Source organism: Homo sapiens, chromosome 5 (assembly GCF_000001405.40).
Source record: "Homo sapiens chromosome 5, GRCh38.p14 Primary Assembly".
NCBI lineage: Eukaryota > Metazoa > Chordata > Mammalia > Primates > Hominidae > Homo > Homo sapiens.
Window position 1 is genome coordinate 67042436 of NC_000005.10, and position 15707 is coordinate 67058142.

The 15707-nt window shown below is 37.1% G+C and overlaps 1 protein-coding gene across 28 annotated transcripts in view; it reads left to right on the forward strand.

Annotated features, from left to right (window-relative positions):
- MAST4 (microtubule associated serine/threonine kinase family member 4) overlaps positions 1 to 15707 on the forward strand; it is a 573201-nt gene that overhangs the window by 446043 nt on the left and 111451 nt on the right. For 26 of the 28 annotated variants that reach the window (XM_024446044.2, XM_047417157.1, XM_047417158.1 and 23 more), the window contains one exon: positions 11969 to 12057. In XM_024446044.2, the coding sequence (XP_024301812.1) occupies positions 11969 to 12057 (89 nt within the window). Of the gene's footprint in view, positions 1 to 4294; positions 6428 to 11968; positions 12058 to 15707 lie in introns of those variants that run through there. The other 2 variants (XM_011543384.3, XM_047417162.1) reach the window with 2 other exon arrangements.

Here is a 15707-nt window from a genome sequence, read left to right on the forward strand (position 1 = left end):
ATGACTAAGAAAACATTAGTGGATGTAAATGAGGAAAAGAAAAGACATCTGTCAAGTTAATTAAGGGAAAACATTCCTTTGACCTCTTTTTTTTTTTTTCCGCGCTTTTCACCAAGGTGGGCTATTCTTCGCTCCTTAGAGACTACTTCCCTTTTCGTGTTAGAAACAAATAGTAGGGACCAAGCACTAAAGTATAGGATAAACACGCAACTAATTTTAATATCCGTTTGGCAGTTTTCCTGTTGCTTCTCCATTCAGGAAACATTTTCTTCTACTTCTGCCCATTATCACAGCTTTGACATTCATGTCATTAACAGAATGTCATTTTGCAAGATACTGAATTAGGAGCAGCTAGCAACAAAACATGCTGAACAGAAAGACACTGGCTTTTTGCCACATGACTTCTCACAAAAAAGAACAAAGTGGAGCTCTGGTGTCGGTTTCTTATATTTGTATGTTTGTGTTCCGATTGTGGAGGCACATGAAATCAGGGACAGTTCACTTGTGGGCAGAACGTTATGCCAAACTGCTATATAAAAGCCAAATGCTGTAGAGCTGGGAGGTGTTAAATAGTCATGCTGTTCATTCTGGGCTTGAAATAAATTTCTGTTGAATGTCATAAAAGGAGATTTGGTGGTCACGGAAGTAAACCCCCTTCCCTTTTGTGGGTCAAAAAGAAGTGGTCCTTGGGTCCTCGGAAGCAGAAGGAAGGAAGAGACCCTTTTATTTTTTTGGTTAGTGATTAGCTATGTAGCTAAATTATAGACTAAAATATATTCACCAAATTAAATAGTTCTAGTGGTAGCAAGTTAAACTGAGATTTAATTTCTGTATAGAGAAGGCTGAAATGGGTAAAACTATATTATAATAATTTAGTTGCTATGTGTATATTCAAATAAGTTTTGGATATAAGGACATCTCCCAATCAAGCTTTCTAAAGCCAATGACCATTTCATAAAAGCAATGCAATTGGGACATGAGGTACAGGAGAAAAAAGTTAATAGTAAAATTTTACTGTGTTATTTCCAAAAAGGAAGATTGGAACATTAGATTTAAGTTATTGCATTAACTCTGGCTTGGGACTGCCACCACTGTCTAAGGTCTTTTCAAGAGTTACTTCCTTATCCCTGGCCATTTGAAAATAATCTAATGCCATTAAATTAAATTGATTAAAGTAATTTTAACAGTAGGACTTTGAACTTGGTTTTTCTGCTACTTGGAAAAAGATATATCAAATTGTGAATTTAATATACTTACATTGAGTACAAAAAACGGAAGTTAAAAACAAAAAACAACTTGTTTATGTCACACACATCTTCCCTACCCCCAGCACACACTTGTAAAGTAGAGGTTTAGAAAACCATTAATTTGTGTTTTGTGTATCTTTTCTTAATTCCCCAGTATGTCTGTTGACTTCTCTTTGGTCCCTAATAATAACTGACCTATGGACAGCCAACCACTTGGATGTCTGTCTCATAGGTATTTGATCTGACCTTTCCCCATGTTATAAAACTGGCTCCACCACCTCCACCTTTCCCCCAACTTTGCTACTTTGATAACCCAGCTCTAGGTAGGGCCAGCCAGGTCATAGCCGCTGTTTATCCTGGCAGGCTAGATTAGGCCATGTGAGTTTTGAATGACTTTATACTATGTTTTAGGTAGCATCAGCCCTTGGAGAAGTTTCCCAAGTTACAGCACATGCCCTTTATCTCTTAGAGATAATTACTGGCCTTTCCAGTACTCTCTTCCCATCTTCATCTCAAATGGTAACACTCTTTAATGTGTGTCTTTGATCTTTGGGCTGTTGTACTAATCTGAAATCCAAAAGCCATCTCCGTCATTGACTCTCCCAGCCCTTGAGGTCCTTCCTGTAAATACATGACCTGCGCCAATGACCTAGAATCCCTGGGGTAGGCATGCAGACTAGGTCTCTCCTATGACTCATGTTGCAGATAAATTGCACTAAACAATTAATAGGCAATGAGATATAGGCCCTTCTCACATTAATTACTTTTTTACTTCTAACATTTAAAAAACTTGGATTTATTCTGCTACTATAAATCCTTCCTTCCTCCCCACCTTTTTCTTTTTTTAAATTAGAGAGGGTCTTGCTCTATAGTCCAGGCTGGAATGCAGTGGAGTGATCATGGCTCACTGTAATCTCAAACTCTTAGGATCAAGTTATCCTCCAGCCTCGCTGCCTGAGTAATTGGGACTAAGGCACACACCAGCATGCCTAGCTATTTTTAAAAATATTTTATAGAGTGGGGTTTCCCTATGTTAACCAAGCTGGTTTCAGACTCCTGGCCTTAACGAGCCTTCCTGCCTTGGCCACCCAAAGTGTTGGGATTACAGGTGTGAGCCATACAAATCCCATTATATCCAGCTTCTACTTGACTTCGATCATTGTGTCTTGCTCCCTCTTTTAATTAGACGGATGATCCCGTTGCAGTTTTATTCAGAATGATATGTATGTTGATTGTTCCAGTAGGATGTTTCATACCATGCATCCAGCACCACAGACTTCGTCAGCTCTTTGTGTTTTCTTAGCTATGTACATTGCCTTGATCAATCCAGTAGTATTGGACTATATTATGTCATTTTAAATCAGTTTAGTCTCATAAGTTGGACTATATGTTTGTCCTCCAAGGTAAATTATAAACTTCTTGAAGGCAGGGACCACATTTAGCCAGTCATTCAAAAGTATTTAATGTGTTTCTGTTCAACTAATCTTTTTTCTATGTTCTTCTGGGTATCCAAAGGGATTCAGTGTTACATAAAATATAATCCTTGTTATCAAAAAATTTATAGCCCACTCCTAGGTTGTAAGCTTCGTGTACAATTCGAAGTTATGTTGTGACCACCAAGTGATACTGTGCTTGCCAGGTTTACTGCAATATGACAAGGTGAATGTCAGCCACCAATGACACGTGCTAATACTATGACATCAGAGCCCACCATGTTAGCCATGTAGAAATAGCTATGCTGATATGTCTAACTTTGAAATAGAGCCACGAAATGGAGAATAACTCAGGAGAAATTAGTTGTTAAAAATGTACACTTATACACAGTGTAACATTTCAGTCAACAACAGACCACATATATGAAGGACTGCATATACACAGGTGGTCCCACATGATTGTAATGCCATATTTTTACTGTACCTCTATGTTTAGATCCTGTCAACCTGAAAGGAAAAGTCCAAGGCAAAATTAAGTAGAGAGTTTCATTGGGGCTAAGTTTGAGGATTGCAACCCTGAGCATAGATTCAAGTTGCTCTGTATATACGCTCCAATTAGCAGCAGTTACAGGTAGATTTTTAAAGGAAAAGAAGAGGTAGTTCCTAAATTGTTTACCAAGAATTTATGTTAAAATAACACAAGCTATTAATTGTGTATACATTGTTATTTCTGTCATAAATTCCAGGAACTTGAAGATAATGAGTGAAGCAACTAGTCAGAAACAAAATGCCTTTAAACGATTGTCCCCCAGGCAAGGTGGGGATGTGACTGAAGTCCCTACTCCTGTCTCTCTGGGCCTGATACATTTTGCATATTTCACGTAACTCAGACTGCTCTGAGCTATTTTTCTTTTCTCAATACACAAATACCATTGTGTTGCAGTTGCCTCCAGTGTTCAGTACAGTAACATGCTATACAGGTTTGTAGCCTGGGGTCCATAGACTATCCCATATAGCCTCAGTGTGCAGTAGGCTCTACCATCTAGGTTTGTGTAAGCGCGCTCTGTGATGTTTGCATGAGGACAAAATAGCCTAACGAGGCATTTCTCCAAATGTATCCCTGCTAAGCAACAAGTGACTGTATTTTCATCAAGCAGATCACTGAAATTACGAGATTATTTAGGGAAGTCCTATGAAATGGATGGATAATCTGCAATGCATAGTGTATTCTGTAAAATTCTACTGTTTATTGTTTATGAAAATGTGTTTAAAAGCTGAATGGGAATTTATCTCACACTTCAGCAGCAAATTTTTGTTGTATCTCTTTTCCAGATTCTGCCTTAGAGTCTAGTTATCTGTGAATCAGTCTTATCTCTCCTTTTATACTTTAAACACTTTGAAACAACTTCATTTTCTTATCTCACACAGTACTTTGTACATGGGAATAGACATTCCAGAAATACTTGTTATATTGGATAGTGCCTTTTCTAATATCTACATGTTCAGCTGTTTTTCTTTTCTTCTATGAAGACAGAGAATTGGGCCAGATCTCACTGTGGATTTATCTTAATGGATTAGATATATTTCCAGAAGTACTATATAAGGTAATATATATTTTCCTATTGACTTTCTTCATAATTTTTGAAAGCTTATCCCTTTCTCTAGCTATTGAAATTAGCCTAAATTTTTTTTTGTTCATAGGTGAAAGCAGTGTAGGCAACCATTCATTCCCATTACAATTAATGCCTTTAGAAGAGTTTTTCTGCTAATAGAAAAGTTAAGGTCAAGTATCAAGCCAATAAGGTCAATAATTACATCCCCCTGATCACTATGACCTGGATCATTACATTGATACAAATATGGAAAAGCCTGAGGCACTCAGGCTGATAGTATCAGCACTTGCTATTTCTCCAAGTTTTTTGAGGCTGTACAAAAGAGCACAGACTGATGTAACACTTGCATTGAATTTTGGAGCTGTTTTTGTATAAACTAATTTTTACAGTAAAATACTATATTTGAAAGCAGAACCACAGGCTATAAGAGTCCATTCATCCTGCTTCCTCCTTTTAATCTAGCAGCCAGAATGATTCTCTAAAAACAAAAGTCAGGTTATGTTCAGAACCTTCCAACAGCTTCCCTTGTCACTCAGGGACCAGACTCTGCACTGTGGCCTGCAGGCTGCTGCAGACCTGCCTCCTGCCATGGCTCTACCATCCTCTGCTGGCACTCTTCCCTGGCTCTCTGCACGCCTGCCATGCTGGCCTGCCTGCTGCTCCTAGAACACTCTGGCCTCAGGGCCTCTGCTCTTGCTGAATGCTCACTTCCTTGCTTTCTGGTCTTATCCTCTCTCACCTCCCCAGTGAGGCCTTTCCTGACCACCTGTTTGAAATTGTGAACTCCCACCCCTGCAATCTCTGTCCTACTTTGTGCATTATTTTTCCTCCATCGCTATCTCATGTACCACAAATTTTACAAATTTGTTATGTTCATTTTCTGCTTTTCCCTCCAAAATGTAAGCTCCCTTGAGAGCAGAGATTTTTGTTTGTTTAGAATAGTGCCTAGCATATCTTAGGCACTCAGAAAGTAATTTATTGAAGTAATTAATGAAAGCCTGGGTGGAGCTCTGATTTCATGGGCCATAGGGAAGAGGATCCCAGCGAGTTTCTTAACTTCACATTAGTAGCAAAGGGTGTGTGACAAAGGCAGAGAACAGCTTTGTTGTTTGTCTCTGCTGCCTTCTAAGGAGGAATAGTGCTTATCCAGCCAGCTACTAGGTGTGACCTTGTGCTATTCAGAAAAAGTGGTGGAGATGTAGACTTGAAGATGCCTAGAAAGAAAGGGTCGACTGATTTACATGAGAAAGACAATTATTTCTGGGAGAAGACAACAGAATGTAGGCAAAAATAGAGATATCCAGGTGAAGCAGCAATAAGCAGGATTTGGGCAAGAGGTGTCCAAAGATTTTAAGAAATATTTGCTTTATGTTGCATGATATAATTTTTCTTTCAAATATAGCCTCTTATCAAAGACATTTTTCAAAGCTTTTTCAATCAAATGCACAGAGTTCTAGATCTTTAATGTTGCAAAGAGGAAAAAGAAATGTCCATGATATATAATTTTAGTGCATTTAGGAATCCTAAAATTTGCTTCAAAGGAATAATCTAAAAAGGGAATGAATTAGACCCATATTTACGTTGCCATGGTTAAACCTCAAAAACATAATGTTGAGTGAAAAAAAGTAAGTTACAGAATATCTAATTCTGTAGACATTCATCCAAAAGTATAATTCATCCAAAAGTCAAAAACATGACTGTCATACAAATATGAAGTGAACATGTATCAAATATTTTGTTTAACATATCAGTGAGGGCAGCAGTAACATATTAAAACAGGTTCAAAGAGATTTTTTTAAAATCAGACATATATGAATAGATATACATAAATAGTCAGGAATTATGAAACAAATTTGCTCATAGATGCAAAATTAGTATCTTATAGGACAGTGATAGTAAATATTTGAGGTCATCTTTCCTTGGGGTGGACATTAATTGTATCTTCACCAGATAAAATTCATTTACATTATTATGGATGGGAATCATTTGCATTACTCCCAGTTTTCTACTTAACTTCAGCTTCTACAGAGTTTTTAAATCACCTAGTCAATAGAAAAACAATGTGTATACCTTTACAGAATCAAATAATTCCCAGGGATCGTCTGCTATACAAAGCCCAACAAGCCACTAAAAGGTAACTGTTAATTTCTTTTGTACAATTTCAAGTCTCTGTTTTTCCTGTTATGTGATACTACTAGTGAAAAGTGGAAGCACACACATATAGTGTGGTTATACATATAGCATATATATATATATATGTATATATATATATACACACACATATATATATATACGTATATATATATATATATACGTGTATATATATATATACGTATATATATATATATATACACTACCATACCAAGAATGAATGGGCAAGCTGCAAGCCCCAGTTCTTTCAGTAGTTGCCTTTTGGGGACTGGAATATGTTATTGGCTTGGACTTCAGAGAGTACATTTTGTTCTCTTTCTAGTTTCTATATCTTTTTTAAAGATTGGAAACAAATAGCACAAATGATACAGTTGCTTGTTCCAGTGTGGTAGGATTTGTTGGATTATTTTTCTATTAAAATTTTTGAGACCAAAAAAAGTAAGTTTATGAATATTTATCTCATCTGTTTCAATCCCTTCATTGTGAAGAAATGGAGACAGAAAGCTGCTTAGTTCATAACATTTATGCAGCATTACCACATTAGCTAGACAATTTCTGCCTCCTGGTCATGCCCTATTTCTTCCACTTCAGCCTTCTTCTTTAAGAAATATTCAAATGTTCATCTTCTCTAAAGGTGTGAGGAAATAGTTAGCAGATGTTCATGGACAGTAAAGCTTTGGTCTATGATGGGTCTCCTGTGCAAATTTATCAAATTTTCATTAGGACGATGTAATAATTCTAGCTTTCCAGAATTACCGGGGCCCCTCTTACTCAATTCACTATATTATTACTGCCCCTCAATGGTGGTTAGTCTTATTTTTTACTGAATGTTGACCTTTCAAGTCAGCTGTCAATGTAAAAATCACTGCCTGTCGGGGTTTCCTCTCTTCATTTTTCTTGCCATGGTCAGAAATGATCAGAATTTATGTCTCAAAGTGAATGTAATTTAAAATTAAGTTGGATTTCAGCTACTCAGAGTAATTGGAAAAGGCCACAGCCTGGTGGGCTTCACAGCTTTCAGAGACCTGGTAGGGGATGGCTAACAGGTTCTTCTGCCAGGAGACAAGTGGCAGACCCAGGTGTGAAACTTTTACAGGTCCCACCAAGCCTTTCTTATGGAGCACAGAGCATAAGGACAACTTCTGCAGAAATGGAATGGGGTACTTGGAACCAAAAATACATACACCTCCTTTCCCACCTGCCTCCAGCTTAGTAGCCCATAGTCCTCTTTGTCCCTCACACTGAGCCAGGCCTGACTTAGATGATGAAATGCATGGCCTGTCTCTTCACCTTCTTAGCAAATGGGAGGTGCTGTTGGCAGTAATTAAGAAATTGAGAAGCTCCTTGTGAAACTGTTTTCGCGATGGTAATAGTGAACTCAGGGAGCAGGTGTGGTGCCTCTTTCAGTCCTCATTTCACCTGCCTGAGCAAAAACCATGCAGACAAAACACTTCCTGGTGGTGACCTCATGTCACTCCAAAGCATCTCCACCCAAGCACCTGTTCAGCTGTGACATTCTTACACGCAGTGTTCTGTCCATGCCTGCTCACCTCCTGCCCCTCAGGGGCAGCCAGTCCTCCCTCAAGGTCCTATCATCAGAACATCTTTTCCCCTTCCCATTCTTCTCGGATTCTGTAGTCAGCAAGGTGCATTTCTTGTGCTCTGTGTCTAAGTTATCTTTCTGTGTCTCATAGTTGCCCCTAGGAGGAGCTTCCCAAGGAGGTACCAGATAAATGAAGTAAAAATAAATGCTTGTGATCATCAGCTCCTGTCCTAATCCATTGTTTATGCCATTGTCTCAAGTTGTTATATGACTGTCTTCTCAGCCTAAATTCTGAATTTGCAAGTAGTGACTCTGTGCCATTGTGTTAATAGAACAATAGTTGTCACTTTCCAAATTCAGAGAACAAACTGTGCAACTCACCCACAGGAAAGTAAGTTTTTCCATGTGCTGCTTCAACTGGAGAACTGATAGAGGGTACTTTGTGGGAAGTGGTTAGTCTCATGTTGGGCTTTCACGTCGGAGCATGGGCATGGTGAATGGCTTCTAGCTGTTGAAGAATGAAGTCAAAAGAATGTATTTGGGGATGGAATAGCTGCAATTTGAGTTCATAACTTTTCTTTAGTTTCATTTTTGCGGTCATGTCCCTGTATCCCTGAGGATGAAAACTGGAGATAACTCTTTACAAGCTCAAATGCTTAGATAAGGGTGAGTTATAAAAAAGATATTTCTGCTACAGGAGAAGTAGTATTCATGTTTAATCTGGTCGGACATCACCTGTTTTTCCCTTGGGTGACTTTGCTTGAAAAAAAAAAAACAAGGCAGAATTGACTTAGTTGTGCTGGTGAAAAGGAAGGAGCCTTTAATTTGCCTGAGTGGAGATGTTTCCACTGTTTTATCATTTAATGGGTTAAATGAGTAGGTGTGGCCATGAACACCTGGAGAGACTGCCTGACGTGCAGGTGCCATAAACTTCTGCTTTCATGGGCAGGAAAGTGTGTGATACCTGGAGGACAGAGGTCAGCTCAGCATTTTGCACCAATGTTATTATTAATGTGGGCATTGCCAGGTGCTGTGGCAACCTGGGTGACAGATGCAGTTCTAACCCACTTGAAGTTTTCTTACTGTTGGAGTTAAGTGCAGATTTTAATTCATTTATTGGGAATCAGGTACTTAGAGTAATAAGATTAGGTGACTGTCAGATATCCCAGAAGCAGGTAATACTGAGATTGGATGACTCTTCCTTCCTGTACCCTGGAAAGGTTTTCTACAGAATATCTCAGTAGGGTCCTAGGATTTTAAAAGTATTTAGATATATATATCAAGATATAGGTATTTGGGAATGAAATGCTGTGTAAAGTGTCCCTCTACCCTTGAAAATTTTAGCAACAAATTCATTCATAAGGCGAAGACCCCATTTCATAAGTATACAGATTTATTTCATGTACATATGGAAATATATCAGCCTATATTATATAAACACTGGCTTTGCTACTTTGGGATCATTTGATGTTTAAAAGTTTTCTATTTCATTGTTGAGAGAGATCCCAGAAAGTTCCAAGTCTGTTGTAATTTTAATATCATCTCTAGCTTCATGTTGAAAGGAAAAAAGATTAGAGGAGACACTTTCAGTGATGAATTATGCTTTGATTATTCATGGCATTTGTCAATAAGATATACCTTCGATAATTTGTTTTGTGTAACATACTACCCATACCTTAAATATGGTAAACTGTTCAAATTCTGAGGTAATTTGTTTTTAACTTCTCTTCTTTTAACTTTCTCATGTATTCATAGATGAAATAGCCTGTTTTCTTTCACTCTACATTGCATTCATAATGAATCATCTATTTATAAAGATTAGAAATCTGTATAGAGGAGTAGATGCACCCAGGATGACTGTAATGTAAATCTGTTTGTATATTGACCAAACAAGTATATTTTATTTGGGGGTTTTATTTAGACATTTCTTTTTGATATTTTTTTTGAATCACATTTTTGAAATCACTTTTCTACCCCTTTTTGATAGATTTTAAATAACTAATGGAATTGTGAGGGTTTGTTGTTCATGTTTTCATTTTTTAAAAAATCTAAATTGTTCATTGTTTTGCCTATTGTGGTAGTGTATGTACCTTAGTATGTATGGTAGTGTACGTTTCTTAGAAATTTTTTAAGTTTTTCTTAAATAACATTTTCTAAATTTAGTTTTAAGTATATCAGCATATTTCACTGATATATCTAGTTAAGATATTCATTAGATTATTTGCATTGACAGACATTTCTTATGAATTTTATTTATGCATATAAACAATAAATATGTTGAAAAGATCTTTATGCATGATGTAGATCAAATGCTAAACACGAAAAAATGTAGCCATTTTTATAATAACCTGAACTTCAGTTAATTTGCTGAAAGAAGTTTGCTGACATTTCCAGGACATAAATCTGTCATTTATAATTTCTTCTATTAACATCAGCAAGTTAATATATTTAATATTTCTGTATTGGAATGAAAGAAGACATTAATTTGAATTAACACTGAATACATTATACAGTATCTTTTAAAACCAATCAGACTGTCTGATTTAATGATTGTGAATTTAATAGGTTGAATACATACATTTCTTGATAGATGAGTTGATAATATCCAACCCACCTTCATAATTAAATATCAAAAGTCTATTCTTATTAACAACTGCTTTAAGGCTGAGTAAACATGAGCTTAATTAAACTCACAGATAATACTAGGGGATGCTGATTGCTGCACTAAGGAAAATAAAGTGATGCAGCCTGACCTTAAGAAATTATAAATATGGGACTGTTGACAAATGATAATAAGCAGCAAACATCTAAGAGAAGATAACTCCCAAGTCTGTATTGCTGAAAGAAATTGGGTTTGGTTTTGAAATGTATTATTTGAATATTTAGAAATGTTATCTCACTGTACCTAAATTAGAAGTCCAGTGAAAATTCCTGTTTCAGGAATCTGGTATAACAGAGTTCTGTCCTGCACTAAGAAGGCATTGCAATAAACTCCTAATGGTGGTTGAGGGCAGCACAGTGTAGGAGGATAGAAGCACAGAGCCCTGAGCCTTGTTATAGGTGAATTAAATGAGGTAACTTGCTGGGTTTTACCACCCTCCTCTGACTACTGTATTGCTAATAGAGAATGAAGTGCCAGTCTATTTTGAAGAAAAGCAAATGAAAATAAGATAATATCCACTTCACCCATCCGCCAGTTTTGTATTTGTCTTATTCTTTAAGGCTTTTGAAAGTTACTTTGAAATCAAATTAGCCATTTTATAACTTCCTTCTAGCAGAAACAGGAACAAATTGTTGCCCTGTGCCCATGTGTAGTAATTTATTTCTATGCTCTGGGTACTCAGGATAAAACCAGTAGCTAGCATGCTTGTGAAAGAGGACCATCACTATTATTTTAATACACTGGGATCTGATTTTATGATTCCAGAACATTTACCTTAATAAAGAATTGAATGCCATATACAAGATGAAAAATGAATGAGTGGTGAGACACATTTATCTTAGGCATCAGCTATTCTATTGACAAAAGGCACAAATAAGAAATTTGTCTAAATAATTAGATTTTTAATTAGTGCGTCATTATAAGATTAATGTCACTGCACTTCATTGCATGTAATTTTGTATTAGAAATTTTGTGTCAACAAAGATGCTACCTGTGGTTTGCTGATTTGAATCCTTAATTTATCACTTGTGTGTATGGCATGTTACATATTTGCACTCAAGCGCTGGAAGAAGGCATTTGATTATTGCTCCACTGGTGGTGAGGAATATTGATGGTGTTGTGCTATATGAATACATTATATTTTCTAATATTCAAGAGGTAGCCACCCCTCAAATATTAGTGAATGCATAATTGTAATAATTTTAACAATAACATGAGCAGATAGGTTGCTCAACCTGGTCCATGTCTACCGGGAACATGGTTGAACATTATTGATGCTATATTCTTTTTAAACTTTGTTTTTTCTTTCTTTTTGATAGTTGCCGAACAAGCAACCGGAAAAGCTTAATAGGCAATGGGCAGTCACCAGCATTGCCTCGACCACACTCACCTCTCTCTGCTCATGCAGGTAATTGGTTACCATTTCTTGAGTTTTGTTTTATTTCTTTATTTGTTGGTTTTTTAAAATAATTAATGCATTTTGATATTTGGTATGTCTTCACATGTTATCTTTGTTTTCCTGCTGTTTTATCCCTAAGTTGTTCTTTGCGATATGTTAGCCCAGATCTTATCCTCTCTGTTTCAGTGTTTGGACTCTAAAATACAGAATTCCTTTTTATATGGGGTCTCTTTTTAATTATTTCTTTCTCCATTTCTAAATGCCTGGATGATACAAGACATGGTTTCCATGTTAGGAATATCCTTGGGAAATGTAAACATGATAACTCATATGAAAAGTACTAATGTTAAGAACTGTTCAGCATATTTCTCCCTAAAATTGAACTTGTCTAATACATTGTGATGGTCATTTTAGGGACAGTGAAGATTTAAGAGAGAGCCTTTGGCCTCAAGTACTTTATAGAATTATAAGGAAGGTTAGAACAGTACTGTAAAAACTAGACAATGAAAACTGCTTTATATGCTGGTTTTTTTTTTTTTCTTCAAAGTTCTATCCATGGTGATGCAAAGAAGAGAAGGGTTAATTCCAATAAAGAAAGTCTGGAAGAGTTTAAAGGAGCCATTTGCCCAAGATGTTGAAAGATGAGCAAGAATTTGTTGGCTGGTAGAGATGGAGTGAGAGAAAGGGAATTCTCAGTGTATGGCTAGAGTGTGGGGATGTGTGTACTTCATTAAGAGAACATAAGGATGGAAAGGCAGAGGAAGGTCAGGAAGTGGGAGGAAGTTTGACTTTGAAGCCCTTTCAAGGGTTTTGAGGAGGATCTGTGTTATAGGAAGGTATCTTCAGGATTGTGAAGGATGAAGGTTAGAAGAATGAGCTCTTAGCCCTACTTCACTGTACTCTTGTGAAAACTCTAATTTGATACTCATGTGTTCTCAGATGATCTTGACCTTAAATGCAGGGCTACCACTCTCACCCAGAAAGCAGTTCTTAAGCTCAGGGAGCCTTTCAAGTTGAGATTGGGAGTTGTCTGTTATATTACTGGGGAGAAGAAGGGAGAGAAAAGTAGTTGCTCCTTTGGAGTGAAATTTTATTTTCTCTGTAGAAATAATTAAAGGAATTAAAGGTGGTAAAGTAAAAAGGTAAAAGATAGATAAAATTATGACACTGTAAAATGACCACTAACATCTAGAAAGGCCTTTCCCAGGTAAAACCTTAGAGTTGGAGAAGCTCTTACACAGATGAAGACAAGTTCTAGACCACTCATAGCAGCAGCATCTGTAATAGCTAAACATTTGAAGTAACCTAACGATCTATCACTTGGAAAATGGATAAATGAATTGTGGCATAGTTATATCCAAAACACACTGTGCACATAGAAAAGAAGTGAACACTACTCAGATTTGCGTGGATGAAACTCAAATATATTGTTGGACAACAAAAGCGAGTCACAAAAGAATATTATGTAAGCCTTTCATATAAAGTTAACATGCTACATACAATATTTTGTTTAGGGATATATATATATATATATGTACATGATATATATTATATATCCTATAATATGATTATATTCTATATATTCACTGTATTATATTTTATGTATTTTTATAATATAAGAGCCTAAAGCAAAACATGGTAATGTTAAAGATTGATTTCATGATAGTAGTTACCTCTGAGAGGGCATGAGAGGGATATAATTAGGGAGCGGGTGTAAGCAGTGGTAACATTGTATTTCCAAGGCTACGTAATGAGGATACATTACTTCTATTACTACCATTTCTGTTTGTGAGATTGATATTACACCCTGTCATTAAAATCCTACAGAGGGTCAAACAGTGCCAGATACCTTACTTGGGACATTACTCTAGCACTCAGCACAGTGCGCAGCAGTGTATGCTAGATGCTAAGTGAATGATGATTCTGTTTTTTAGTATATAATTCTGCGATTTAAAGATTTTAATCTCGCTCCTCTTTATAGTATTTATAGCAATTTCACCATCATTTATGTGCCTGTTGATTCATCTTTTATAGCTGTGATTTTCTTCACTTCTAATATTGAGACGACAGAACGTGGTGAAGACTTTAATGATCCTTTTAATTATTTTTATTTGCTTTCATAGACTTAGCTTAAGTTCTTTCTCCTTCAACATTAATATAGAATTTAATCAGAGGAATGGGCAGAGGGAAGCCTGTCATTCAGGTTCTAAGAGTGTTTTGTTTTTGTTTTTGAGACAAAACCTACCTCTGTTGCCCAGGCTGGAGTGCAGAGGCACGATCTCAGCTAACTGTAACTTCTGCCTCCTGGGTTCAAGAGATTCTCATGCCTCAGCCTCCTGGGTAGCTGGCATTATAGGCCATGCCACCATGCCCAGCTAATTTTTTTTTTTTGTATTTTTAGTAGAGAGAAGGTTTCGCCCTGTTGGCCAGGCTGGTCTCAAACTCCTGTGCTCAAGCAGTCCTCCTGCCTCAGCCACCCAAAGTGCTGGGATCATAGGCACGAGCCACCGCACCGCACCCAGCATTGTTTTTCTTTATGTTATGGAGCCAACATGTTGTTGTTCTCTCAGAGGCAGTGGAAGCCTGTCAGACTTTCTGTGAGAAGTGGCATTTATTACTGTCTGGTAGATTCCTATTTCTGTATAAAAAGAAGAAAAACATGTGAATACGATACAGGACCAGGCCCCACATCCTGATAACATGCAGTGCCTCTTCACCAGCCATGCCTTTTGCCTCACCCTTTCTGTTGCTATGTTCTCTATCCTGCGTTGGACAAAGAGTGTCAGGCGAGGTTTTCTAGGCATCTCCATCAAAATGAGAAGGAAAAACCTCCATCTCTCAGCACTTATTAACCTAAAAGATAAAGTTGCACTTTCTACTTTTCTTAGGTGGGGATTACATGAGCCCCACCAGTCATCACGGACACATCGTTTGTACCTATCAGATGTATCAGTAGAGATGGGGACATTAATTTGTGTAGGGGTGTCAGCAGTGCTCTGGGGAGAAAGAGATATTGGCATACACAGTGGTCTGGAGCATGTCTTCACAAAATAGTGTTTGTGGGGAGCCAGAGATTCCTAAAAGAACAGTGAATAGCACAGTCTCATTAAAAAAAAAAAAAAGAAGGAAAGAAAAGAAAAGAAAAGAAGGCATAGAAAATCACAGGCTCTTATGTCCAGGAAGATTCTAAGCATGAAAAATAATCCAGAAGTCTCAAAGGGAAAAGACTAGTGTACCTCTCTTACAATGAAAATTTCTGTATCAAAAACAAACTCAAAAGAAATCAAAGTATGAAAAATGTTTGTGCCCATGACTGATTGCCAGTTTACATGAAGAAATTGTGTAAATTGATATGAAATGGTGAATGCACCAATAGAAAAATGGGCAAAAGGTGCAAATAGCATGACATAAGGAAAAAATAGCCAACAAAACATGAAATGATATGTCATTGCAATTATAAAAAAAAAAAAAAAGTGGCCAGGCACAGTGGTCACACTTGTGATTGCAGCACTGTGGGAGACTGAGGCAGGAGGATTGCTTGAGCCCAGGAGTTTGAGCCTAGATGACATAGTGAGACCTCATCTCTACAAAATTTCTAAAAATTACCCAGGCATGGTGGCACATGCCTGTGGTCCCAGCTACTCAGGAGGCTGAGGTGA